A 25,582-nucleotide genomic window follows, 5' to 3' on the forward strand; every position below is an offset into this window, starting at 1 on the left:
TGAATTTGGGCCCCTACATCACACAATGTACAAAAATTAACGCAAAATGAATCAAAGACCTAAATATAAGAGCTGGAACTATAAAACTCTTAAAACAATAGGAATAAATTTTCATCACCTTGGATTAGGCAATTTAAAAAATATTTCTTAGACTGGCTACACGTGGTAGCTCACATCTATAATCCCAGAATTTTAGGAGGCTGAGGTGGGGAGATCTCTTGAGCCCAGGAGTTTGAGACCAGCCTGGTCAACATAGTCTGACCTTCTCTCTACAAAAAGATACAAAAATTAGCCAGACATGGTGGTATGTGCCTGTAGTCCCAGCTACTTGGGAGGCCAAGCTGGGAGGATTGCTTGAACCCGGGAGGCAGAGGCTGGAGTGAGCCGTAATCATGCCACTGCACTCCAACCTGGGTGACAGAGAGAGAGAAATAGATATATTTCTTAGACTCTCTCTTAGACTATTATCTATGTGTGTGTATGTTAGTCTAATAAGTATATTAGAATAAAAGACTTAGTTATTCTAACCATATACTTTTTTAGATACCAGAAGCACAAGGTCCAAAGAAAAAAAAATTAGATGTCATCAAAATTTAAAACTTTTGTGCTTCAAAAGATGTCAACAAGAAAGACAGATAATAACAAGTCTTGGTGAGGATGAGGAGAAACAGAGTCATACATTGCTAATGAGAATGTAAAATGATGCAGTCCTTTTGAAAACAGTTTTACAGTTCCTCAAAGTTAAACATAGAGTTACCATATAGCCCAGCAATTCCATTCCTAGGTTTATAACCAAGAGAACAAAAAACATATGCCCACATAAAAATTAGATAAATATTCATAGGAAAAGTATTCATCATAGCCAAAATGTGGTATATCCATACAAGGAATGTTATTCAGCCATAAAAGTCAAGTAAATGAAGTACTAATATATGCTATGACATGGATGAATCTTGAAAACATGATGCTAAGTGAAAGAAGCCACACACAAAAGGCCACATATTGTATTATTCCAATATATGAAATGTTCAGAATAGGAAAATCCATAGAGACAGAAAGAAGATTGGTGGTTGACAGTGTCTTGGAGAAAAGGGGAATGAGGACGACAATCATTACAGGGTTTTTTTGGGAGTGGCGGAAAATGTTTTGGAATGAGATAGTGGTGGTGGTTGCACAACGTTTGAATATTTTTTTAAAAAGGATTAATGTGTGCAGTTTAAAAGGGTAAATTTTGTGGTACACAGATTATTTCTTACCAAGAGGAAGAAGAGGAGGAAGAGGAGAAAGAGAAAAGGAAGGAGGAAGGAGATGGGGAGAGGGAGGACAGCAACCACCAGAACAAAACATTCTAAAATGTTTTGGGTGATGCAAGTGTAGGTGAGATTCTTCCTTCTACTTTTCTGAATTCCAACGTTTTAATTGTGAACATATATTATTTTTTATAATAATAATAAAATCAGATGCTCATCACTGATAACATGTCCCCAGGTGGATCAAGCCCTTATCTTTCTCAGAATGTGGTATGAAATCCCTACAGCGTTGGTAGCACTGGACTAAAAAGTGAGCTCTGTTAACAAATGTTCCCTTCGTGGCAGTGTCTTCACTCCAGCTAAGGCTGAAATTCCCAGAATTTGTTATTTCCTGTCCTCCCACTGACCCTGCTGCCAGCTCTGGCCCTGCCTTTTGCCTGCATGATGGTTAACAGTAGCCTTAATCTAATTTTCCAGTGCATCCAACTTCCTGCTGGGAGGGAAATCCCTTATTTCTGCTCCTGTGGTCCCAGTCCCAAGGATATATGCAGATTATTTGAGACATATATATACAAATAAATTATGCTCTGTGTACTAACTACCATGAATTTAACAGGCATTAAATTAAACATTTTTTTATAACAACCTGTTTTTTGTAAGACGGCTACTAAAAATATTATTTCTATTTCACATTTGAAGAAATTAAAGCACAAAGGGATTGACTAAATTGCCCAGTGTCCCCAGACTGTCTGTTGGAGCCTGGATCCGCACCCAGGTGAGAAGGCCCCATTGCCTTTGCTCTTAACACTTTGCTACAGTGTCTCTGTAAAGGTCTTGATCAAAAGATTTAGAGATTTTCATAAAAGCCCCTAAGCAGTTGTAGATTACTTGGTTATATATTCATAAAGTTCATAGTCTCTTGTCCTTTCACTTACACAAACTAACAGTGTTTATACCCAAACCTATGTTTATTATCAGTTTTATGTCAAATAAATTTAACAGTATTTGTACAGCACACATAACCAGCTCCTAGTAATAAGGCAGCTGGCAGGCTTTCTGGGCTAAGTCAACAGATTCAGGGTGGAGTTCACTGGAGAAAATAGCTAGTGGTCCAGGTGTCCTGTTTGAGACGTGGAGGGACGATGAATTTGTAGTCAAAACACTTAGCAACTCTTCCCAAAATAGCATTCTATTTCCTTGTAGTGAATGGCAAAGGACACATACCTCAATAAGTAACACCTTTGTTTGTAGGAGAACTGGGAGAATGCTGGCAACACACTCTTGTCTAAAAAGGCATTTGGTGTTGGTCTCACAGAGACACATGGGTGACAGTGGTCACGCCTATATAGTATGCCTATAATAATTTGAGCCTAAAAAAAATTTAAAGGTATTATATTCAAAGCCCACAGCCTGGAGGCATAGCCCAGGAAGCTTCCAGCTCAGCTCCCTTAACAGGTAATCTAAGACTGCTCTTATATCACCCACATGTGCTTATGCATGTATTTTTTAAATAATTGAGTCATTCTATTTATAATGTTTATAACATGCTTTTTTTGCTTTGTGTATCAGAAATAGGCTTGAGTGCAATGGTGTGATCTTGGCTCACTGCAACCTCTGTGCCTACTGGGTTCAAGCGATTCTCCTGTCTCAGCCTCCCAAGTAGCTGGGATTACAGGTGCCTACCACCATGCTCAGCTACTTCTTGTACTTGTAGTAGAGACAGGGTTTCACCATGTTATCCAGGCTGGTCTCAAACTCCTGACCTCAGGTGACCCACCCACCTCAGCCTCCCAAAGTGCTGGGATTACAGGTGTGAGCCACCATGCCTGGCCTCACCCAATGCTTCTATTCCTCCTCTCCCCTCATGCCTTCATCCAAGGTTCCTGACCCTTCCAGACATGGAGCTGGAGGAAAAAGGAGAGTTAAAGAAAGAGAGCAAAGGTCCTTTGGTCACGGAGCAGCAGCACTATCTGGGCTTGGCTTTTGCTTAAAGCTGATTCTAAGGGATACCTCAGTGGGTTATTGCGAGGATCCGTCCAATTGCTTGGAAACACCCACCTGAAGTTCTCTGCACCTGGGTATCTCTATGCTACCTGGTTACTTATGCTTTCCTTAGCCCCTAGCAACGTAGCAATACATCCAACTTTTCTCTGCAGGCCTTTTGGACCTAGAATGACTCTACGTTTATGCCTCCCATTCATGGTCCACATCACATCCATAGGAAACACTCAACTGTTCTAGCCCCACTGAATTCTGGGAGTGCCAGTGTGCCTAACACAACCTCTTCTCCTTCAGCTTGTCTGTCACAGCTACATGGCCAATCTTTCATCCTTGAGATTTCTCAGGGGAGAATCAGACACCAGCCCACTGTGTCCCTTAACCTTGGAGAACACATATCAGACTCTCTAGAGGTGGTCCAGCTAAATTCTGGCCTAAGGAGAGGGGCCGGCATCCCTCAGAAGTTGCCCCTGCAAGGGGCATGGACTCTCAGTACAGCTTTCCAAATAACTCTTCCTAAGAAGTTATATTTCAAACTCCCCTTCTATGCTTTAGTATTCCTTATAAGGGTGAGGGATTTAAGAATGATCTACTGGTTCTCAGCCTCTTTGTAAATCCTTTCTCAGAACTTCAATTTGGAATGGGCATCTGTTGTTTTGCAACCTCAACTTCCATTTCACCATCCTGTTACAAGGTATTGCATATGTTGTATATTTAGCATTTTCCATTTTTACATATAACCCAATTTTCCCAGGCCTCACCAGATTGACAATATAAAATAAAGTTGCAGTCTATCTTTATGCACAAATGATGATGGCAAGAGCCCCAACTGTTTTGCTGACTAGAAATTAGCACATTTTCAAGTGTCCCGAACGTATTTTGGGGACTTCCCCAGAAGCATGCTACACACATGCCCACAACCTGATCTGTAACTGCTTGGTGTCTGCTTTTCCCTCTTTTCCTACCCTGGCTTATAATCTTTCACATTGTCTGCCTAGGAGTTTGAGGAATGTCACATCATTGCTAGGTTCCAAGGGTAGGTAGAAGAAATAGCCTCCTCTCCAATTGTGTGTCACATGTGGACACCAGGACGTGAAATGGCTCTTCTTTGTCAGATAACGAGTTCTGGCCATCTCCTACTTCCCACGAATCCTCCAACTCTCTCCTAAAAATAGTGCCATTATTTTTCTGATTGCCACTTTCCTGAGCTTGGGCAATCCAACCTGGTCTACGGGCCAGAACAATTCCCATTTTTAGCTCCCCACAAACCACAGACTCCACCACCCAATTTCCCTTCCTTTTTCTCCCTCATGCCCAGGTACAAAATAGAAATCTCTGTGTTTATTAATGGATGGGAGGGAAAGAGAAATTGAAGTCTCACTAGCAGCTTCTGGGTCAACACTTTGCTTGTCAGGGATATTCAATATTATCTTTCTTTTGCTTTCTAAGTTCAAGAGCCATTCAGAAAAAAAAGCAAAGTGGAGGACAATGTATACAGTCTGCTACTAAGGAAGGGAATATTATAAATATGTACTAGTTTACAAATGCAAAAGATACCCCTAGAAGGACCCACAAGAAACTAAATAATAATGGTAGTTGCTTCTAGAGTGGGAACTTGGTGACTAGGGATCAGAGAAGGAGAGAAAATTCAGTTTTTACTCTATTTAATTTTGTACTTTTTGAAAATTTTACATGTGCATGTATACCCCAAAGAAATTAGCAGTTTGCAAATAGATAACTCATTTTAAGAAGAGAGAAGACAACGTTCAAGTTGAAGCCTGCAATGGCAGACCATCCGTATCCATTTGCAAAGAAAAAATTAATCTTGTTTATGCCCCAAATGAAGAGGACTAACAACTAACAGCACGAACAATAGCCTACACCACAGGCATCTTAATTGATTCACCTTACACAATTCTGACTGAAAAATTAAAGTTGAGCAAACTTTGCACTTGATGGCTGCCAAAACCATCCAGATCAGCTGCAGACAAGAGCAGAGCTCTCAGTGGAAATTTTAAACGAGTGGGATCAAGATCTTGAAGCATTTCTTCGAAGCACTGTAACAGAAGATTAAACATGGCCTTACCAGTATGATCCTGAAGACAAAGCACAATTAAAGCAACGGCTACCAAGAGGTGGAAGTGGTCCAGTCACAGCAAAGCCAGACCGCTCAAGAGCAAAGGTCATGGCAACAGTTTGTCGAGATGCTTAAGGCATTTTGTTTGCTGAATTTTTGCAAGGACAAAGAGTGGTAACATCTACTTATTATGAGATTGTTTTGAGAAAGTTAGCCAAAGGTTTAGCAGAAAAATGCCCAGGAAAGCTTCACCAGAATCACACCATAAAAATGCCTCTTGCTCATTTCTCTCATCAAACAAGGGCAATTTTGTGAGAGTTTCTGTGGGAAATCATTAGGCATCCACCTGGTTACGGTACCAATTTGGCTTCTTCTGACTTCTTTTTCTTTCCTAATCTTAAAAAGCAATCTTTAGGCTGGGTGCGGTGGTTCATGTCTATAATCCCAGCACTTTGGGAGGCCGAGGCGGGCGGATCACAAGGTCAGGAGATCGAGACCATCTTGGCTAACACGGTGAAACCCCGTCTTTACTAAAAATACAAAAAATTAGCCGGGCGCGGTGGCGGGCGCCTGTAGTCCCAGCTACTCGGGAGGCTGAGGCAGGAGAATGGCGTGAACCTGGGAGGCGGAGCTTGCAGTGAGCCGAGATTGCGCCACTGCAATCCGGCCTGGGCTAAACAGCGGGACTCCGTCTCAAAAAAAAAAAAAAAAAAAAAAAAAAGAAATGGTAAAAATAAAAATTAATCTTTATTAGGCTTAAATGTATTCTTTCATAATGATATTAAATTATAATGGAATTAGTTAAAACAAAAACTATCAATAGCTAATACTTAAATATTAAAAAAAAGCCTAATCATAAATAGGTAATTTTAGAAATAAAATTAATAAATTGAAGATAAAGCCTAATCATCAATAGGTAATTTTAGAAATAAAATTAATAAATTGAAGATAAACTCCATGTCACAAAATGACACATTTTAGAGAACAGAGACAGCAGAATAAAGAAGTCTTCAGAAACACCTCTTTTATAAAAGCCAAGCTGGATAAGATCCAACTGGGGCCAATACAAGGAAAAACTGTAGTAGTAAATATATATCTATAATTTACATCACTCTGAAATCCTTGACCCCTAGAATAGTCAACCAAAGGTTACATATTTCAAAGAGAAAAGATCTTATAGTTTAAGATTTTACAGCATATATGTGAGATAAAATACAAGATGCTCAGTTAGATATGGATTTCAGATAATGAATTTTTAAATATGATTTCTATAATATTTAAGACATATTTATTCAGAAAATTAGTTGATAAATCTGTAATTTAAATTTAACCAAGGGTCTTGTATTTTTATTTAACACTAGCAACCCTGTTTTAGCATGAGAACCAGACTGTAATAAAACAGGTTGCTCAGTATCTTTTCCCCATCTTACCACAACTTTGAGGGGGACGGAGTGGCTAGAGGTGGGATATAAATAGTTCCGTTTTTTCTATTTTGGTGGTGTTTCTGGTGATTTTTTGTTGGTTTTAAGAGTTAAAGAATTTTTTTAAATAAAGAAATCTGTCGCAAACCAGAAACACCAAATTTTTTAAAACTAAAAACATCTACTTTAACATAAGTGAATCATGCTGATATTTCTGAATTTCATTATATCCAGAATTATTTCATGTTCTCCAAGTTATGAGGCAAAAAGCATATTCCACGCTTCAATTTATGAAGGATTATTTTATGACTCCTTTCTCATTGATAAGTAGCCAACAACCTTTCAATTAATTCTGATGGAACATTCCAACTGCAGCTATTTGGCATGCCAGGCCATGAAAGGGAAAATTGGCAGAACCATGCGGTCATAGATGACAGGGAGACAACAGTTTTCCAGTTAGAGGAGGTTGTGAAAAATTGATAGGCTTTAAAGATGAGAATCATGGCTTATAGGATTTGTTGATCTTGGTTGTGTTGAGAAGAAAAATGGCTGAATAATGGTGGGTAGAACAGGTAGGTCTCTGTTCTTGGCTGGAACCTAGAAACTAGAAAAGACAGTTTCTTCAGATAAATAGCTACGAAGAGAATCCAACTATAATTTACTGAACTCAGAGAAGTGGATGGGAGAATACAGAGCATAAGTTAACACAGAAATGCAGTCTCAACGTGCAAATGCTTGGTGAGCTGCATCTGGGAATAAAGCTGGCAGAACCTGCTTCCTCATGGGCAGGAGAGCTAAGAGGGGAGGACTAATGTGTCAAGAGAACAGGTCAATCACCTGTAAGGCTTTGAATGAAGAAGAGAAAGGCTAGTCTGTGGGAAAGCAATCACTATACTTAGATGAGCATATTAGATACAAAAACAATCTGAGTTCCTGTAAAAAAGTCCCTCTGTATAAGCTACACAAGAAGCTCATTGCAGAGAAATAGTAACTATAATTCACTTTTTTGAGGTGCTTGCCATATACCACCATATGGCATTCTTTTAAGTTTTATGTGTTTGGCATCACTTAATCCTCTCAGCAACCTGACAAAGTAGGTAATATTTTCATCCTCATTTTAGAAATGAGAAGACCGAGGTCCAGAAAGGCTAAGAAACCTGTCGAGGGTTATGACCTAGCTAGTAAGTCGTGGAATCAGGCTTCTAAACCAGGTAGTCTATAAGGAGAGATGATGCTCTTAATCAGTAAACTTTAAGGCCTCCTTAAATGGCTGGCTAAGTGGCACTCTGTGAAATGGCCCGCTAAGTTAAAAAACTAGGAGAGGAAACCCAGAGACAGAGTCCCAAAGCTGTAATAGTTGGAAGAGAAAACTCCAACACCTTGAAGTGCTGGCGGAAGTTTACCAGTGACAGAACTATGTCTGAGGCTTCACTGACTTGAATCCACCCAGAAGATGGAAGAACATCAAAATGGGCCATCAGGGAATTACTTAGAGGTTCTCCTAGAGCAGAGTTGCCAGCTAAAAGGGTGTCCCATTAACTACTTTGGACATATTTATACTAAAAATACATTAGTTTTTTTAAATCTGAAATGCACATTTAACTGGGCATCCTGTATTTTTATTGGTCAAGCTGGCAGCCCTATCTGAGGAGCCAAGCAAGCTACAGGTGCAATACTGGTGTGAAAGGAAAATATCTTGGGCCCCCCAAATCGCTAAGCTAAAAGGGAAAGTCAAGCTGGGAACTGCTTAGGGTAAACCTGCCTCACATTCTATTCAAAGTCACCCCTCTGCTCACACTGAGATAAATGCATATCTGATTGCCTCCCTTGGAAAGGCTAATTAGAAACTCAAAAGAATGCAACCAATTATCTCTTATCTACCTATGACCTGGAAGCCCCCTCCCTGCTTCAAGTTGTCCTGCTTTTCCAAACCGAACCAATGTTCATCTTACATATGTTAATTGATGTCTCTTGTCTCCCTAAAATGTATAAAACCAAACTGTGCTCTCACCACCTTGGGCATATATCATCAGGGCCTCCTGAGGTTGTGTCATGGCCAAATGTCCTCAACCTTGGCAAACTAAACTTTCTAAATTAACTGAGACCTGTCTCAGATTTTCAGGGTTCACATTTTGGTAACCATGAAGGGATTCTGAGTGGAGATGCCCCTGACCTTTGACAAATCTATGCTTGGTACCAGCATGAGCTAACTTTATGGCTCAAACCAATAGGACAATTTGCTGAGGCCTGAGAGCACCCCCTCCAGAGAATCCCTGATGTCCCCAAATGTGGTAGAGATCTAAAGTTTATTTTGCTGGAAAAAAAAAAAAAAGCAAGTAAAATTCCAAAAAAACTTTTACTTGCTTCCAAAAAGGAAGGGAAGATTTCCTGTTTCCATGGCTATGGAAGACAGGTAACTCTTTTATGGAGTTTGAGCTCACTTCCAACAGGGAAGATGAGTTTTTTTTCTCTCTGCTTCTAGTATGGTAGAGAGCAGTCTACACCCTGAGACCCATCCCTAGCTAAGTAACTGAATTGGGGTTTGTCTTGGCTAAAGTTAAGATTAACAACCAGCTGGTCTTAATTTCTCCTTACTATTAGAGTACTCAGTAATGATATAAGTTGTGTGATTGTTTTGCTTAACTGTTTTTGTTGTTGTTGTTGTTCATTCCTGTTTTCACTGTTGTTTTGGACTTTTTCCCATTGGGTTTGATCAACTCTATCCAACTTGATCAAATCCAAAGGAAATTCCAAATTATGGGGAACAAGGCCTCTGAAGTGGCTAAATTCTCACACACACACACACACACACACACACACTCACGCACACACGTGGTATGGGGTGGAGGGGAAAAAATGGCCAGAAAAAGGAAAAAAAAAAAAAACAAAAAGAAAAATTTTTTATTCTAAGGGTCTTCATTTACATAACAAGGCCACCTTTTTGTTAGCCAGGCCAAACTGAAAGAGCAATGGCTGTACTTCTGAAATAGCAGCAATTTGTCCTAGCTGAAATATGGTAATGAGATTTTAAAAGTTTTTTTTTAAGGAGCTCAATGGTTAAAAGTCAGCTTAATTAAAACCTAACATCCAAGATGCGTGCGTGTGTGCGCACGCGCGCACGCATATGTGTGTGTTTGTATTTAAAAGGACTTCATGTTTTTGTTTTTCTCCTGGGACCTTGTCTTTTTTTTTTTTTTTTTTTGAGCAAAAGTTTTTTTCTTTTCAGTTGACAGAATTCTGTTTTCTTCATTTACTTCTACTATCTCTCCTTTCTCTTGCACCCTCTGCTGCATGGAGGACCTAAAATAGTTTATAATAGCCTGGGGTTCCTTAAAGAAAATGGAGAAGGCACCAGACTCCCTTTCCAGGGAAAACAAATTTTTTCAAGAATGTAAACAGACAAGTTTGTCTCAGTTCTCGAACAGCTTACTTTTGTATTGTGTTACTTTTTTTTTTTTTGACTAAAATAGTTATTGCAACAGAGGTTACTCTTGGGTTTTTAAGGAAGAATGTGGCTTAGACACTTAGAAATGTCTTTAATTTTTTTTTTTTTCTGAGTGCACTGTAAAAGCACCACGTAGCCTAATCTCATATTAATTCTCCCTTTTTGGAGACCCAGGATTCAGTATGGGCTCTGCCCAGAGCTCAGAGATCCAGTTAAAAGATAGGTAGTCATTCCCTACCTAAATAAAATTAGTCTCCTTATAGAATCCTATGCTAGACTTCTATAATTTTATGTTTAATTTGGCATCCATTTTTAATCTCCCTCTAACACCACCAGACTTTTTCCTCTCTGTACCTTATGATGTAACTTTTGCTATATCATTTTCACCCGAGTTGTTTCCTTTAGTATGCAAATTTAAGGCTATTTAGCTGACAACTGCCTAGGGTTGTGAAACAGTTTATCAGGAATCTGAAAGTCTAAGGGGAAAAAAAGGTTTCTATAAATCTATAAGATGTACTTTTCTATCAGCATGCCCAATATATCTATGTATTTACATGTTGTGTACACACTGTTTCACTACTGAAAATGTATGAAAGAGCTCTAATTAATTGGCTTAAGAAACTAAAAGTGTTGGCTGGGTGCAGTGGCTCACACCTGTAATCCCAGCACTTTGGGAAGCCCAGGTGGGTAGATCACCTGAGGTCAGGAGCTTGAGACCCGCCTGGCCAACATGGTGAAACCCCGTCTCTACTAAAAATACAAAAAAATTAGCCAGGCATGGTGACAAGCACCTGTAATCCCAGCTACTTGGGAGGCTGAGACAGGACAATTGCTTGAACCCAGGAGGCAGAAGTTGCAGTGAGCTGAGATCACACCATTGCACTCCAGCCTGGGCAACAAGAGCGAAACTCTAACTAAAAAATAAATAAATAAATAAATAAATACATAAATAAATACATTATCAGGAGAGAAGAAAAGACTAGTAAAATGCTTTTTCAACTTTACATAACTTAAGTAAAATTTTTAATAAATAAGCTAGCTTTAAAAATTATTCGTAAAGTAATATTAGGAATGTCTTAAGAATTGCCAGCATACATTTTTTGTTTACATTTATTAATCAAGCAGTTTCATAGTTATTATCCCTGCCAAATACTATAAGGTGTCAAACTTTGGCACAGGGGTTACAAAACTATAAATTCAGCCCAAGACAGAATGATCTTTACTTGTGTAATCTTTCATAAATAAGACACTGATATTAGTTTAATTAAAATAGCAACATCTTGAATTTAGTAAGATTACCATAACTTCTAATCTTGTGGCTTTAGGCAGTCTAGTTCACGAGCAGTAAAGTTTGTTTTGGGAAAGGACTGTTACTATCTTTGTTTCAAAGCTAAACTATAAACTAAGTTCCTCCCAAAATTAGTTTGGCCTACCTACAACCAGAAATGAACAAGAACAGCTTGGAGGTTAGAAGCAAGAGCAGGATGGAGTCAGTTAGGTCAAATCTTTTTCACTGTCTCAGTTATAATTTTGCAATGGCAATTCCATAACTTCAAATAATGACAATCGCAGTTTTTACAAGTGATCTAGGTAAATGATTAAAATAATTAGGTAAATGTAATAGGATAAATACTTGTAGACAAACTCATTATAATTTAGAATCTAAAGTTATATTAAATAATAGATATTTCATTATTTGGGCATTTTCCAATAAAAATATATTTGTAGGAAAACATTCTTTCTAAAAAAAAAAAGCAGTATGTCCTTTTAAAAAAGGTGAACACTTTTTGTCTAATTCAAAGCTTATTTAAAGGGCATGTACAAAACAAGGTAAAAGGAACCAAGAAATAAAAGACATGTAAAGCAAGTTATAAAAATAAAGAGCTTTTTTCGGTAAGAAAGCTTAAAGAGAAATAATTCCATATGAGAAAGAATCTTGTATGGTAAATTTAGTCCTAGAGTAAAATGACTGTTTAAGAAAGAAGGATGTTCAGCCAGGTGCAGTGGCTCAAGCCTGTAATCCCAGCACTTTGAGAGGCCAAGGCGGGTGGATCCCCTGAGGTCAGGAGTTCGCGACTAGTTTGGCCAACATGGCGAAACCCTGCTTCTACTAAAAGTACAAAAATTAGCCAGGCATGGTGGTGTGCACCTGTAATCCCAGCTACTCAGGAGGCTGAGGTAGGAGAATCACTTGAACCCGGGAGGCGGAGGTTGCAGTGAGCTGAGATCGTGCCATTGCACTCCAGCCTGGGCAACAAAGTGAGACTCCATCTCAAAAAAAACAAAGGAAAGAAAGAAAAAGAAAGAGAGAGAGAGAAAGGAAGGAAGGAAGTTAGTTCAAGACAAACCAGAAAGCCCAAGCATGTCATGAACAATCTGTATAAGTCACAAGAAGAAGATTTATAAAAAACAAAACAAAACAAAAACTTTTATATGATCAAGTTGCCTATGATTAAAGGGAAATAATAATGGTCTTTCTAGAGGTTGGGTTTGATGTTAAAAAAAATGCCACTTATACACTTATATTACATCTCGCTGGTTTTGGTTTTCTCTCCTCTTTTAAAAAGTGTGAAATAGTAACACTCCCCTTCAACTAATTTTCAGCTCATATAAGTTTTTTTCCCTGCTCAGTTTCTTTTTTTGGTGGCCTGATGCTAACAACATTTCTTTAAAGGTCTAAAGGAATTGTTTTCTTCCAACATAATATTCTGTGCACTGCAGAAGGTATTTTCTTTTGCCTTTTGGTAACTGGCCTAACAGATTTTACATTTATCAAAATAACTCCCATGCCATTATTATTAAGTTTGGTTTCCTTAGGAAAAACTGAGATGTAAAATGTTTTTTTAATTAAGGTTATTACATTCTTGTATCTTCCTGTATGTGCTTTTAAAGTCCTTGTGACATTGAGTTACAGGGCTTTGACTCTTGGGTCTAAAAAGAACACCAAGTCCTGCTAAATCTCAAACACTGACAGCAATTAAAACCTCATCTCCAGGCCCCCTAGAAGATGCCAATCAAAATAAACTGCATTCCTGAGACGCAGGGCCAGAAATTAAAGGCATTTAACTCCTCAAGGCCCAGGGGCTATTGCAGAAGAGGTGGGCTTGTGAGATCACAAAGTTAATTTTTAGAGATAAAATGAGTTCAGTTTCTCTATAAATTAACCATTAATGTCAAAGGCACACTGATGCAAGACCAGCATATCAACCCATGTCAAATTAACAAGGTTTTCTTAAAACATTAACCAACTCCTTAATAAAGGTTACAAAGATATAAAAGGCTCATGGAAGATATATCTTATGATCAAGATTAAACCTTTATGGATTGTTTATAAAATTTTGGAAAACTAATTGGCTTCATGCTGTTTTTTTATTAGGGCTTAATGTTTAGAAAATTAAGTCTTCTCTCTCAAAGAATGAAGGTTTTTGCCCTTTTGTTTTGAAATCCTTATCACTTTGGCTAAATGAATGACTTATTTTACAATGACCTGTAATCCTATTTTGTGATATTAAGTGTTTAAAACCTTTGATATTTGACAAACTTTCTGAAATCAAATTATACATTATGTCTTTTTCTGAACTAATTAGTCCTTTAAGATGGTATTAATGGGTTCCCTAAAGTCCAAAAGTGACATATTTGGCTTTTTTGGTATGAAAATTATACAGGAAGCATTGTCCAATATGAAATGGTGTTTGGTTTTCTTTGGGCTGTATTTGTATAAATATGTTATTGGTATGTATTCCAAAATTATGGGAAACTCCTATTATTCTGATATGACACACTGTATGTTATCAGTAATAATTATAATTTTTATGTTAAATTATTGTGTGCTACAGAGGTAACAGAATGTCTGACTATGGCTGCCCTAAAACTTTTCATTATTCACAGACAATTGTCATCTTTTTTTGGTCCTTTTCAGAGGTAGTTTTATAATCAGCTATAAAACTCTTAACAGGTGTTCTTGAATGCATGTTTCTGATAGCTCTGGAGACTGTGACATCAAAATAGAGAAAAAACTTCGAGGACTCATGGAGAGCTGAAATGTTCATGAATATCAAGCAGAACAAGAATTAACTGCATGGACTAAACTAATAGAAGTTTGAAGTAATCTTTTTTAACTTTTTGCTTAAAATGTTGCTGATAATTTGTTTTTCAAAATCAAGAAACTTTTAAGCTATTTACAGCTTTTTAACAATGGAGTATACTCCTTTGAACAAAATTTGGAGCATATTTGTTTTTAAAACTACCTGATTTCTACAGAATTTGGAATCTATTTGTGAGTATTCTTTACTTATGACAATACAGTTATTTGCATAAGTGCAATAAGAATCTGTTTTCATTTGTAACAGCACACATTTGAAGAAACTGGTTATTTTACCAAGGCTTTGACTGAAATAGTGTGCTTTCCTTTAAAGAATTAAACTTGACTTATGGAGCCAATAAAAAGTCCCTTGGAAAAACTAGCCTCATACCTTTGTCTCCACAGTCCCTGTACAGGGTTCCTGACCTGTGGTAAGTAAAAAAGGTCACTTACTGACAGGCCCAGGAGCCCCAGGTTTTTGTTAGGAGCTCAAAAGGAGAGGAATTCACCCAACTCATAGGTATTTCATGGTACAAATCCATGGCTGGGCTGTGCTTTAAAAAAGTCTTCTCTGAGATTCCTTCTGTGGAAAAAGTTCCATCAAAGCCAATTTAAAAGCTTATATAAAAAATAATTATTCTTGCTGCACTGTATACAAAGAATTAGGCCAAGTATAATAAGGAAAACCAGTCCTGCCATGATTTGTCTTTCATAAAAATGGGAAAGGGGAGAGAGAAAAATTATGTTTCAAAAACTATAGTACATCTATTGTTAGATTCTAGTCTTGTGTAATGTTTTTCAATTTTTATTATTTTCTACAGTTTGGACTGAATTCTAATTTTTCTTAGCTACATGTCTTCAAAATAATGTTTTCAATTTTTTTCCTTCTTTTTTTCCTCCATTTTTCCAAATTTGGAGTCACTGGAAACTAAGATGTGCTTTCATAAAGCCCTGTGAAATGAAGCTAAACAACTTGAGCTTCAGAAGAAAATAGCAGCGACCTATTTACATACATAAGCCACTTTCATACCTGCCTACTGATGTATGGACTTCAGAGTAATGTGGCATATATCTATTTTCCAGAATTGTTCTTTTGTTTGTTGTTGTCCTCCCCCTATTTTCTCTTCACAGGACATGAGACTTCACAACCTTCTAAAAAGGAGCTTTCCTAATAACTCAGGACCTACCTATCTAGGAATAAACCATCCTAGCCATGAGAGATCAGACGAAACCTGAGGCCAGAGACTCATTTTCTTCTAAAATGCGTTCTCCAACAGATTTTTAAAAAGAAAAGGGGGGAAATGTGAAAGTATTTTGGGCCCCTCAAATCACTAAACTAAAGGAAAACTTCAAGTGGGGAACTGCTTAGGGTAAACCTGCCTCCCATTCTGTTCAAAGTTATCCCTCTGCTCACCAAGATAAATGCATATATCATTGCCTTCTGTGGAGAGGCTAATTAGAAACTCAAAAAAAATGCAACCATTTGTCTCTTATCTACCTATGACCTGGAAGCCCCCTCCCTGCACCTTTCCAGACCGAACTAATGTTCATCTTACATGTGTTGATTGATGTCTTATATCTCCCTAAAATGTATAAAACCAAACTGTGCTCTGACCACCTTGGGCACATGTTGTCAGGACCTCCTGAGGCTGTGTCCTGGGTGCACGTCTTCAACCTTGGCAAAATAAACTTTCTAAATTAACTGAGACCTGTGTCAGGTCTTCAGGATTCATAGTGGTTAGTTAGCATTTAAAAATCAAATAACATGAGGGGCTGGGCCTTGATACTAGGTACAGAGCAAAGTAAATCTGTGTGAACGTTAGACAGCATTCTAGATTTGGGTAACAGGTAACTCGTGGACAACTACTCAGCTCTTATTCTGAATGCACCAGCACTAAACTACCCCTAAATGACCTGAGAAATAAGATTGACAACACAGTGGAAGAAAAAAGCCTAATACCAAGTGACTAAAGCCACATAGGGCAAATTAGGCTAAAGCAAAGCTTGAAAGGTGGGGTAAACACTCACAGAGTTACTGGTGTTGAGAATTAGACTGACAAAACACATGCCCAAGAGCGCTATCTGACTCTGCCAGGCCATGTTGCTATTTCTTTGGCAGTCATTGAGAAAAAAACTAACAAAACAATCCTGTCCTGGTATTGCTGCTGCACTGGGGAGAGGTGATCTATACAGAAGGGAGAGAAGGGGAAGGGACAGTAGAGGAGGGGAGGGGATGGGAGGGAAGTTGGCAACAATATCAGTTCTAGGAAATGGTCAGAAGAGTCACTGTTCAGGGCAGGAACAGTCGGGGCCCTGCTATTTTTGTTTAGTAATCACAACTAGCCTCCCGGGAAAATTCTATCTGCTGTCCAGCAGGCTTTGGAAAAGAGCCCTCCTATACACACATGCACACACACAGGAGCATGCACACACACACACACACACACACTTATGGGAGAGAGAGGAAGGAGACCCATAGGAGGCTTGGGTCTTTGAATACCAAACCAGGTAAATGTGTGCTTTACCTATGCACACCCAAACACACACACACACACACACACACACACACACACACACACACACACACATACCCCAGAGAGGTTTTACTATTTATCAAGTCAGGAATAAATTTTAAATTAGAGTTCTTATAAGAGAGAGGAAAATTAAATAGAACATACAACTTTTAGATCAGAGAAATGGCCTAAACACGCAAGAGTAAAATTTTCTAGGGGAAGTAATTTGCTTATTGGTTCATTTAAAATTTCTAGATGAACACATTTCCTGCCAAATCTAATTGCAAGAAAGGTCACCAGTGAGAGAAAGCAAAGGACTCTTGGTACCTTCCGGCTAAATCCTCGATATCTTTTATGAACAGGCCTCCTTGGTGCTTGCACATATTCTTGCATGCCCTCAGTCGGCTCTTATTCTTGTACAAGACGTAGTCTTTGCCAGTGCTCTTATTGCGAAAGAAATTGATTCCTTCCTTAAGACTGGCAACTTCAACAGGTGATAGGCACAACAGGATCTCAGTTGTTTGTTCGATGCTATGAAAAGGCAAACATTTTGAGGGGGAAGGTTAATAATGTTAGGTTTTAAGAGACAATCATTTCAAACTGACAGCTCAAAACCCCTTTTCCCTAAAATATTTTGTAAGCCCCTTGCGTTCCAAGTACCCAGGTTTAGTGGCTACCTGAGGATGCATTTCTCCCCACCCTGATATGAATGTAAATATACTTCTTACTTGTTAAATATGCCTCTCCACTTTTCTAGGGAACTAATAGCCCTCTTACTTGCCTGCCCATCGTCTGCCGGTTCCTCTGCCTGGGTATTTTGAAAGAACAGCAGTTGCTCATATCGTTTCTGTTGCTCATTTGCTCCCCTAAGGCATTAGTCAGCCTGAAAACAGGACGTTTAAGGTATTTTCCTTTAACAGTTACTGATTTCCTTTGACAGTTTTCTCCCTCTACCACAGCTCTTTTAGAAGTCTAACACCATATTCAATTCTGAGAAGCCACTGTGCTGTCCCTCCCATCTCTGCTCTTGCGCATCTGGACTTCCTCTGCCTGGAACGCAGTTCCTCTCCTTCACCACGCAGCATCAGTCTTGGGTCAAATAGAAACGAATCGTCCCCTTCCTGGTTAAGTCTTCCAAGACACACCAGAGGTCCAGGCTGGCATTCTTGGTGTACATCCCTCTTCTGTAGAACATTATAACACTGTAATTGGCACACTGCCCTGTTGACTTACATTTAGGCACTTTTGAAAGCACTCTGTATCTTCCTTCTCCCCCTACCACTTAGCCCACTGCCTTTCACAGGATATGTCTTCACTAGCTCTCTACTTAATGAATCACCCCTCCCACTGCACTCAATTTGATTAATTTACAAAAAGCTCCAGCCGCAAACCAAGCATTTGAATCTTTTTTTTCTTTTAAGGAAACTAGCCGTTACACTTCTCAAACCCCAATTTCTAAACACTCTGTTTACAGTGCAACACTGAATCATAACAGAATATGATTTCTGCCAAGAAAGGTTTCAAAATAGCTTTTGCAAATCCATGGTAGGAAATCTGGGCACATGTTGTTTAGTTTTATATTTGACTCCAAACAAAAAGTAGCCAAAATTCTCTTTGCATGTTAACTTAAAACTGATTTGGAGCACAAGCATATTTGTGGCACTTTCAGTTTCATTTTTAGAAGCGCTGCAAATTTCTTAAAGGAGATAAAAATAATTTTAAGAACACTCCAGGGTAGAAAATAACAGAGAAACCACTTCCAATTTTAAACTGATGAAGGCATAGCTCTGTAATATTATGATCTACTTTCTCAAAGCAGATTCTCATTGTCACCTCTGTCCCAAATTCCTAGTAATTGTGTTCCCAATGGACTTGAAATTATTCCAAAAATATGTTCTAAATGTATTTGACAGGAAGAAGCCATTCTAAATTTCATGACTTCTCTTTTGACTTTGTTCTTACGAGTACAGATATCTGACACCAAGCTAACATAAGCACTGAGGCAATTCCTGGAATAATTAGTCTAAGAGTTTAAAAGGCAAACCTCTCTAGATTTTTGTTGTTCCATTGAATGAATTCATATAGCCAAAGTTCTCTGTTAGATTTCAACTTATATCACAACCATGTAGAACAGGTTCACTCAACCACACTTTTGTCCTCAGTTCCACGTGAAAGTCACATTGGAGCAGAAGGCAAAAGAAAAAAATATGTGCACCTATATACATGCTTTTCTGTGTATTGTTTAAATGATTAGCTTTTCCCCAAAGTATTTTTAAAGATATCAATGAATTTGCTTCTATCAAAATCAGAAAAATAAAACTGTAGCAAATTCTTGTTTTGCTATAAAACATTAAAACTAAAATGAATTGCCTTTTTTCGAATTGGTTTTGGGGGTAGATTCGAGTTACAAAATGGCCGCCCGGAGCGTGTTCGGCGCGGTTCCCCCAGCGGTCTCTGGCTGAACCGGCGCTCTCGCCTCCCTGCTGAACACAGCGTGAGGACCCCCCCTCCATGGACATGGTGTTTGAGTCTCTGGGCTTGCCGAACACCAAGTCCTCTGAGTTCCGCAGCGCAGCACCGGAAGCGGCCGAGCGCGCTCAGCCCGGCGACCCCTGCGGGCTCCAGACCCCTGCGCCGCTGCGCCCTGGGTTTCGCCGCACCCAAGACCCAGCGAGTGCAGCGGCGGCCGCCGAGGAGGTTCGAAAACACGGCCAAAAGAAATGCCGAGAAGGAACTGACAGATAGGAATTGGGATCAAGAAGATGAAGCTTAAGAGGTGGGAACATTCTCCATGGCCAGTGAGGAAGTCTTGAAGAATAGAGCCATAAAGAAAGCAAAGCGCAGAAATGTTGGATTCGAATCTGACACTGGAGGAGCCTTTAAAGGTTTTAAAGGTTTGGTGGTACCTTCTGGAGGAGGACGCTTTCCTGGATTTGGTAGTGGCGCTGGAGGGAAGCCTTTGGAAGGACTGTCGAATGGAAACAACATAACCAGTGCCCCTCCCTTCACCAGTGCAAAGGCAGCGGCAGAGCCCAAGGTAGCCTTTGGTTCTCTTGCTGCAAATGGCCCTACCGCCTTGGTTGATAAAGTTTCAAATCCCAAAACTAATGGGGACACTCAGCAGCCCTCCTCCTCTGGCCTTGCTTCCAGTAAAGCTTGTGTCGGAAATGCCTATCACAAGCAGTTGGCCGCCTTGAACTGCTCCGTGCGGGATTGGATAGTGAAGCACGTGAATACAAACCCCCTCTGTGATCTGACACCTATCTTTAAGGACTATGAGAAATATTTAGCAAACATTGAACAGCAACACGGGAACAGTGGCAGGAATTCTAAAAGTGAATCTAACAAAGTGGCGGCTGAAACACAGTCTCCTTCCCTTTTTGGCTCAACAAAATTACAGCAAGAGTCAACGTTTTTGTTTCATGGCAACAAAACTGAAGATACACCTGACAAGAAGGTGGAGGTGGCATCTGAAAAGAAAACGAACCCATCATCACTAGGAGCGACAAGTGCCTCATTTAATTTCGACAAGAAAGTTGATAGCTCTGTTTTGGGCTCATTAAGCTCTGTCCCCCTGACTGGATTTTCTTTCTCCCCTGGAAACTCCAGTTTATTTGGCAAAGATACTACCCAGAGTAAACCAGTCTCTTCACCATTTCCCACTAAACCATTGGAGGGCCAAGCGGAAGGTGACAGTGGTGAATGCAAAGGTGGAGATGAAGAAGAGAATGATGAGCCGCCCAAAGTAGTAGTTACCGAAGTAAAAGAAGATGCTTTTTACTCCAAAAAGTGTAAACTGTTTTACAAGAAAGACAATGAGTTTAAAGAGAAAGGCATAGGTACTCTGCATTTAAAACCTACAGCAAATCAGAAGACACAGCTTTTGGTGCGGGCAGACACCAATTTAGGCAACATATTGCTGAATGTTCTGATTCCACCCAATATGCCATGTACGCGAACAGGGAAGAATAACGTTCTTATCGTCTGTGTTCCAAATCCACCAATTGACGAGAAGAATGCCACCATGCCAGTCACCATGTTGATTCGGGTAAAAACCAGCGAGGATGCAGACGAGTTGCACAAAATTTTACTGGAGAAAAAGGATGCCTGAACACGCGAAGTTGGCTGCGGAATTATTGCCAAGTTGCTGCTTCTTCCACCGCCCCTTAAAGTTAGTCAGTTTTTCTTCTCTTCTTTGACATTCTAAGAACTTATAGATAACCTAAAACTTTTGTGAGAAAGATTAATGTGGCCAATAAAACCTTTAAATGTTAAGTGTCAAAAAACCGCACTCTCCCTTCTTAAGAACTGCCTAAAGTGTAAAATACATTTGAATGCAATTTTTGGAAAAAAAAAAAAAAAAAACTAAAATGAATTTTAATACACCTACTTTTTAACATTTCAATATTTTTTCAAATACATTAATATTCTTGAAAATAACCATTAAAATACATTTATACAGGGGCACGCTTTTTCCTTTTTGCCTCAGAAGTAATGGCAGTGTGGCAGTATAACATCCTGTCTTTAAGTTTTGGATATTTCGTTTGTCATGGAATTTGTGCGTTCATTTTGGCCTTAAAAAATATTGTGTTGGCCAGGTGTGGTGGCTCACACCTGTAATCCCAGCACTTTGGGAGGCCAAGGCAAGCGGATCACCTAAGGTCAGGAGTTCGAGACCAACCTGGCCTACATGGTGAAACCCTGTCTGTACTAGAAATACAAAAATTAGCCAGGTGTGGTGGCAGGTACCTGTAGTCCCAGCTACGTGGGAGGCTGAAGCAGGAAAGTCGCTTGAACCTGGGAGGCGGAGGTTGCAGTGAGCTGAGATCGCCCCACTGCACTCCAGCCTGGGTGACAGAGTGAGACTCCATCTCAAAAGAAAAAAAAAATGAAAAAATATTGTGTTAAAATAATTTGTTTTAATCAAGATTTTTTTTACATTCCTTAAATTTTCTACAACTTAAAAGTGGTCTCACTTGTCTCACCCTAATCCTGGGCTCTGTTATTTTCTGATGCTTAATTATGATCTAAACTAGGAACTAGTTAGAAGTCAGCTTCATAGTCAATGTATGTATCTCACCTGACTTATCTCCATCCTGTTCTTTTTCTGAAGATTAGTAGGAACCAGATATAAGTGTGTAACAAACGAATTTTTAAAATTTACCTCACTAGAGATCACAGAAAATACCTATATTAATAAAAATGTCATTGGTTTACTATGTCGAGGGCCTATGGAATAAACAGTGATGCTCTTGAAACTTATTTTGAAAATTCAAAATCTAGACCTCAAAAAAATACAGAGAGGAGTAGAGTTTTATGAGGTAAAAATGTCATTCATTCATGCTCTGATGGCACCTCACACCCTGAGGATCTCTTCAAAGACCAGTGGCTGGGGCTTCTAAGCTCAGAGCTGAGGGAGAGGCAAGGATAGGAATGATATAAATGTCAACTATACTTGCAGTCCAAGCAGGGCAAGGAGCCCAAATAAAGACTACTTATGAAGCTAGAAATCCTCCAGAGGGTCATAATCTGAGAAAAAGGGTGGAGGAAGAAAAGGCAACTCATTCAGAATTTTCAGTCTGTATGTACATTTTGCTCCCCGTCTTAGGTATTTTGTTTTCAATGGGAAGATGTTCAGTATTCTGTTCAAGAAAAGGTAAACTCTATGAAGGCCAAGACTACAGTGCCTGTCCCGTGGTAGGTGCTCAGTAAATATCTAGTGAATTAAAGAATATCCTCACACGAACAAAATGTGTACTCCATGGTTAAAAGAAGAAAAATTCACCTACTGTACCCTGTGATACTCAATATCTAAAATCAATCACATAAGCTTCCACTTTAGGAAACTAGAAAAAGGAAAGTAAATTAAATTCAAAGGAAGCAGAAAAAAAGAAATGAAAATTAGAGCAGAAATCAATGGAATTGAAAACAGAAAACTAATAGAGAAATGCAACAAAACCAAATGCTGGTTCTTCGAAAAGATCAAAAAAGTGATAAGCCCACAGCTAGGCTAACTAATATTTTAAAAGAGAGAGAGAGGGAGGATGCAAAAATATTAATATCAGGCTGGGCACAGTGGCTTATGCCTGTAATCCCAGCACTTTGGGAGGCCAAGGCAGAAGCATCACTTGAGCCCAGGAGTTCAAGACCAGTCTGGGCAACAAAGTGAGACCCTGTGTCTAAGGCAGGTGTGGTGGCTCACATCTGTAATGCCAGCACTTTGGGAGGCTGAGGTGGGCGGATTGCTTTGAGCTCAGGAGTTCAAGACCAGCCTGGGCAATACAATGAAACCCCATCTCTACAAAAAATGCAAAACAATTAGCCAGGCATTGGTGGCTTGTACTTGTAGTCCCAGCTGCTTGGGAGGCTGAGACTGGAGAATCACTTGAGCCCAGAAAGCAGAGGTTGCAGTGAGCTGAGATCGTGCCACTGCACTCTAGCCTGGGTGACAGAGCGAGTCCCTCTCTCAAAGGAAAAAAAAAAAACAGACCCTGTGTCTACAAAAACAAAAAATACAATATCAGAAATGAAAGAAGGGACAACACTATGGAACTTATGGACATTAAAAAGATAATAAAGGAATGCTATGAAAAACTCTACGCTCACAAATTTGATAACCTAGGTGAAACAGACCAATCCATTCAAAGACACAATCTGCCAAAACTTGTACAAAAAGAAATAGACTATCTGAGTAGTACTATATATATTAAATAAATTGAATCGGTAACTAAGAACCTTCTAAAACAGAAAGCATCAGGCCCAGAAGGGTGTACTGGTGAATTCTACTATAATTTTAAAGAAGAATTTATACCAATTTTCAAAAGTCTCTTCCAGAAGACAGAAACAGAGGGAATATTTCCTGACTCATTCTATGAGCCCATAACCCTAATACCAAAATCAGACAAAGTTATAACAAGAAAAAAAAACTACAGGCTAATTTCTTTCATGAACATAGATGCAAAAATACTCAACAAAATATTATCAGATATAGCAATGGATAAAAAGAATTATATGCTATGACCAAATGGGATTTATTCCAGGCATGTAAGGCTGGTTCAACATTCAAAAGTCACTAATATAATGTATCAAATCAATAGGCTAAAGAAGAAAAGTCACATGATCACATGCATTTGATAAAATCCAACACTCATTCATGATAAAAACTCTCAGCACACTAGAAATACAGTGAAACTTCTTCAGCTTGATAGAGAACATTTACAGCTGGGCACAGCAGCCCATACCCATTAATCTAAGTGTTTTTGGGGGTCAACACAGAAGGATTACTTGAGGCCAGGAGGTTAAGACCAGCCTGGTCAACATAGCAAAACCCCATTGCTAAAAAATAAAAATAAAAAAGCGCCAGGTGCGGTGGCTTATGCCTGTAATCCCAGCACTTTGGGAGGCTGAGGCAGGTGGATCGCCTGAGGTCAGGAGTTCAAGACCAGCCTGGCCAACATGGTGAAACCCCGTCTCTACTAAAATACAACAATTAGCCAGGCATGGTGGCCTACGCCTGTAATCCCAGCTACTTGGGAGGCTGAAATAGGAGAACTGCTTGAACCCAGGAGGCGGAGGTTGCAGTGAGCTGAGCTCATGGCACTGCACTTCAGCCTGGGTGACAGAGTGAGACTCCATCTCAAAAAAAAAAAAAAAAAATTAGCCAGGCATGGCAGTATGCATCTATAGCCCTAGCTACTTGGTAGGCCAATATGTAAGTATCACTTGAGCCCCCAGTTCAAAGCTGGGGTGACCTATGATCACACCACTGGACTCCAGCCTGGGAGACAGAGCAAGACCCTGTATCTTAAATAAATAAATAAATTAATTAATTAATTAATTAAAACATCTACAAAAAATGAGAAAGTAGAAGCTTTCTTACTAAGATAAGGACAAGGCAAGGATGTCGTCTCTCACCACTGCTTTTCTACATTGCATTGAAAGTTCTAGACAATAAAATAGGGCAAATAAATAAATAAGTGGTATACAAATTGGGAAGAAAGAAGTAAAACTGTTTTTGTTCACAGATAACATGATTGCCTATGTAGAAAATCTGAAATAATCAATTCTTAAATGTGGGCTGCACATAGAGACTTCCTTTCATAGAGACTTCCTTTCAAAGAGTACAGTATGGAAATGATGAAAAAAAGAGTAACTTTAACAGTAAGGAAATGTGACAATCCGTCAATATCAACGGTGATAAATTATGTTAGAATGTAACTTTAATATGATGTGGTCTTCCTCCTGCAAACCCATAATCCCAGTCTAACCATGAGAAAAAAAATCAGATAAATTCCAGTAGAGAGGTAACCTATAAAATACATGGTCTGTACTCCTTGAAACTCAAGGTCATCCAAAACAAGAAAAATCTAAGTAAATATTACAGCCAAGAGAAGCCTAAGGAGACATGATAGCTCCTTAGCTAATGTGATGTGGTATCTTAGATGTAACCCTGAAACAGAAAAAGACATTAGGTAAAAGTAAAGAGACCTGAATAAGCTACTCAGCACATTAAGGCAAGAAAAAAAAAAGTCAAACACATAAGGAGTGGAAAGAAAAAAAATCATTTTTGAAGATACTTAGAACTGACTGTATACATAAACATTCAGAAGAACCCACATATAAATTATAAGACTCTGAGAGTTTAGTACAGCTGTTAGATATATAATCAATAGTTTAAGAAATCAATTTATTCTCACATCAGCAATAAAAAATACAAAAATTGAATTTAAAAATATATCATTTAAGATAGCAGAAAAGGCTGAGGTGGATCACCTGAGGTCAGGAGTTCGAGACCAGC

The 25,582-nt window shown here is 39.0% G+C and overlaps 1 long non-coding RNA gene and 2 pseudogenes across 3 annotated transcripts in view, besides 3 other annotated features; 2 read left to right on the forward strand and 1 right to left on the reverse strand.

Moving 5' to 3' along the window:
• The window catches only part of CMAHP (cytidine monophospho-N-acetylneuraminic acid hydroxylase, pseudogene), a 57,326-nt pseudogene extending 39,441 nt beyond the window's left edge, over positions 1 to 17,885 (reverse strand). Inside the window, exons 1-2 of one of the 2 annotated variants that reach the window (NR_027626.1) lie at positions 17,567 to 17,885; positions 17,113 to 17,316 (exon numbers count right to left, since the gene is read on the reverse strand). The product of NR_027626.1 is annotated as a cytidine monophospho-N-acetylneuraminic acid hydroxylase, pseudogene, transcript variant 2 (transcript). Of the gene's footprint in view, positions 1 to 17,112; positions 17,317 to 17,566 lie in introns of those variants that run through there. The other variant, NR_002174.2, reaches the window with a different exon arrangement.
• Positions 1,182 to 14,684, forward strand: LOC124901282 (uncharacterized). Its single transcript, XR_007059515.1, has 3 exons — positions 1,182 to 1,377; positions 1,950 to 2,025; positions 14,147 to 14,684. It is a non-coding gene; the product is annotated as an uncharacterized LOC124901282 (long non-coding RNA).
• Positions 17,749 to 17,798: an enhancer, noted in NCBI's record as "active region_24166". NCBI's record gives its function as "activates an Ori minimal core promoter by ATAC-STARR-seq in GM12878 lymphoblastoid cells {active_cell/tissue: GM12878}" and the evidence as "EXISTENCE:reporter gene assay evidence [ECO:0000049][PMID:35858748]".
• Positions 17,839 to 18,068: an enhancer, noted in NCBI's record as "active region_24167". NCBI's record gives its function as "activates an Ori minimal core promoter by ATAC-STARR-seq in GM12878 lymphoblastoid cells {active_cell/tissue: GM12878}" and the evidence as "EXISTENCE:reporter gene assay evidence [ECO:0000049][PMID:35858748]".
• Positions 18,179 to 18,298: an enhancer, noted in NCBI's record as "active region_24168". NCBI's record gives its function as "activates an Ori minimal core promoter by ATAC-STARR-seq in GM12878 lymphoblastoid cells {active_cell/tissue: GM12878}" and the evidence as "EXISTENCE:reporter gene assay evidence [ECO:0000049][PMID:35858748]".
• NUP50P2 (nucleoporin 50 pseudogene 2) lies at positions 19,157 to 21,134 on the forward strand (annotated as a pseudogene).

This window comes from Homo sapiens, chromosome 6 (genome assembly GCF_000001405.40).
Source record: "Homo sapiens chromosome 6, GRCh38.p14 Primary Assembly".
Lineage (NCBI taxonomy): Eukaryota > Metazoa > Chordata > Mammalia > Primates > Hominidae > Homo > Homo sapiens.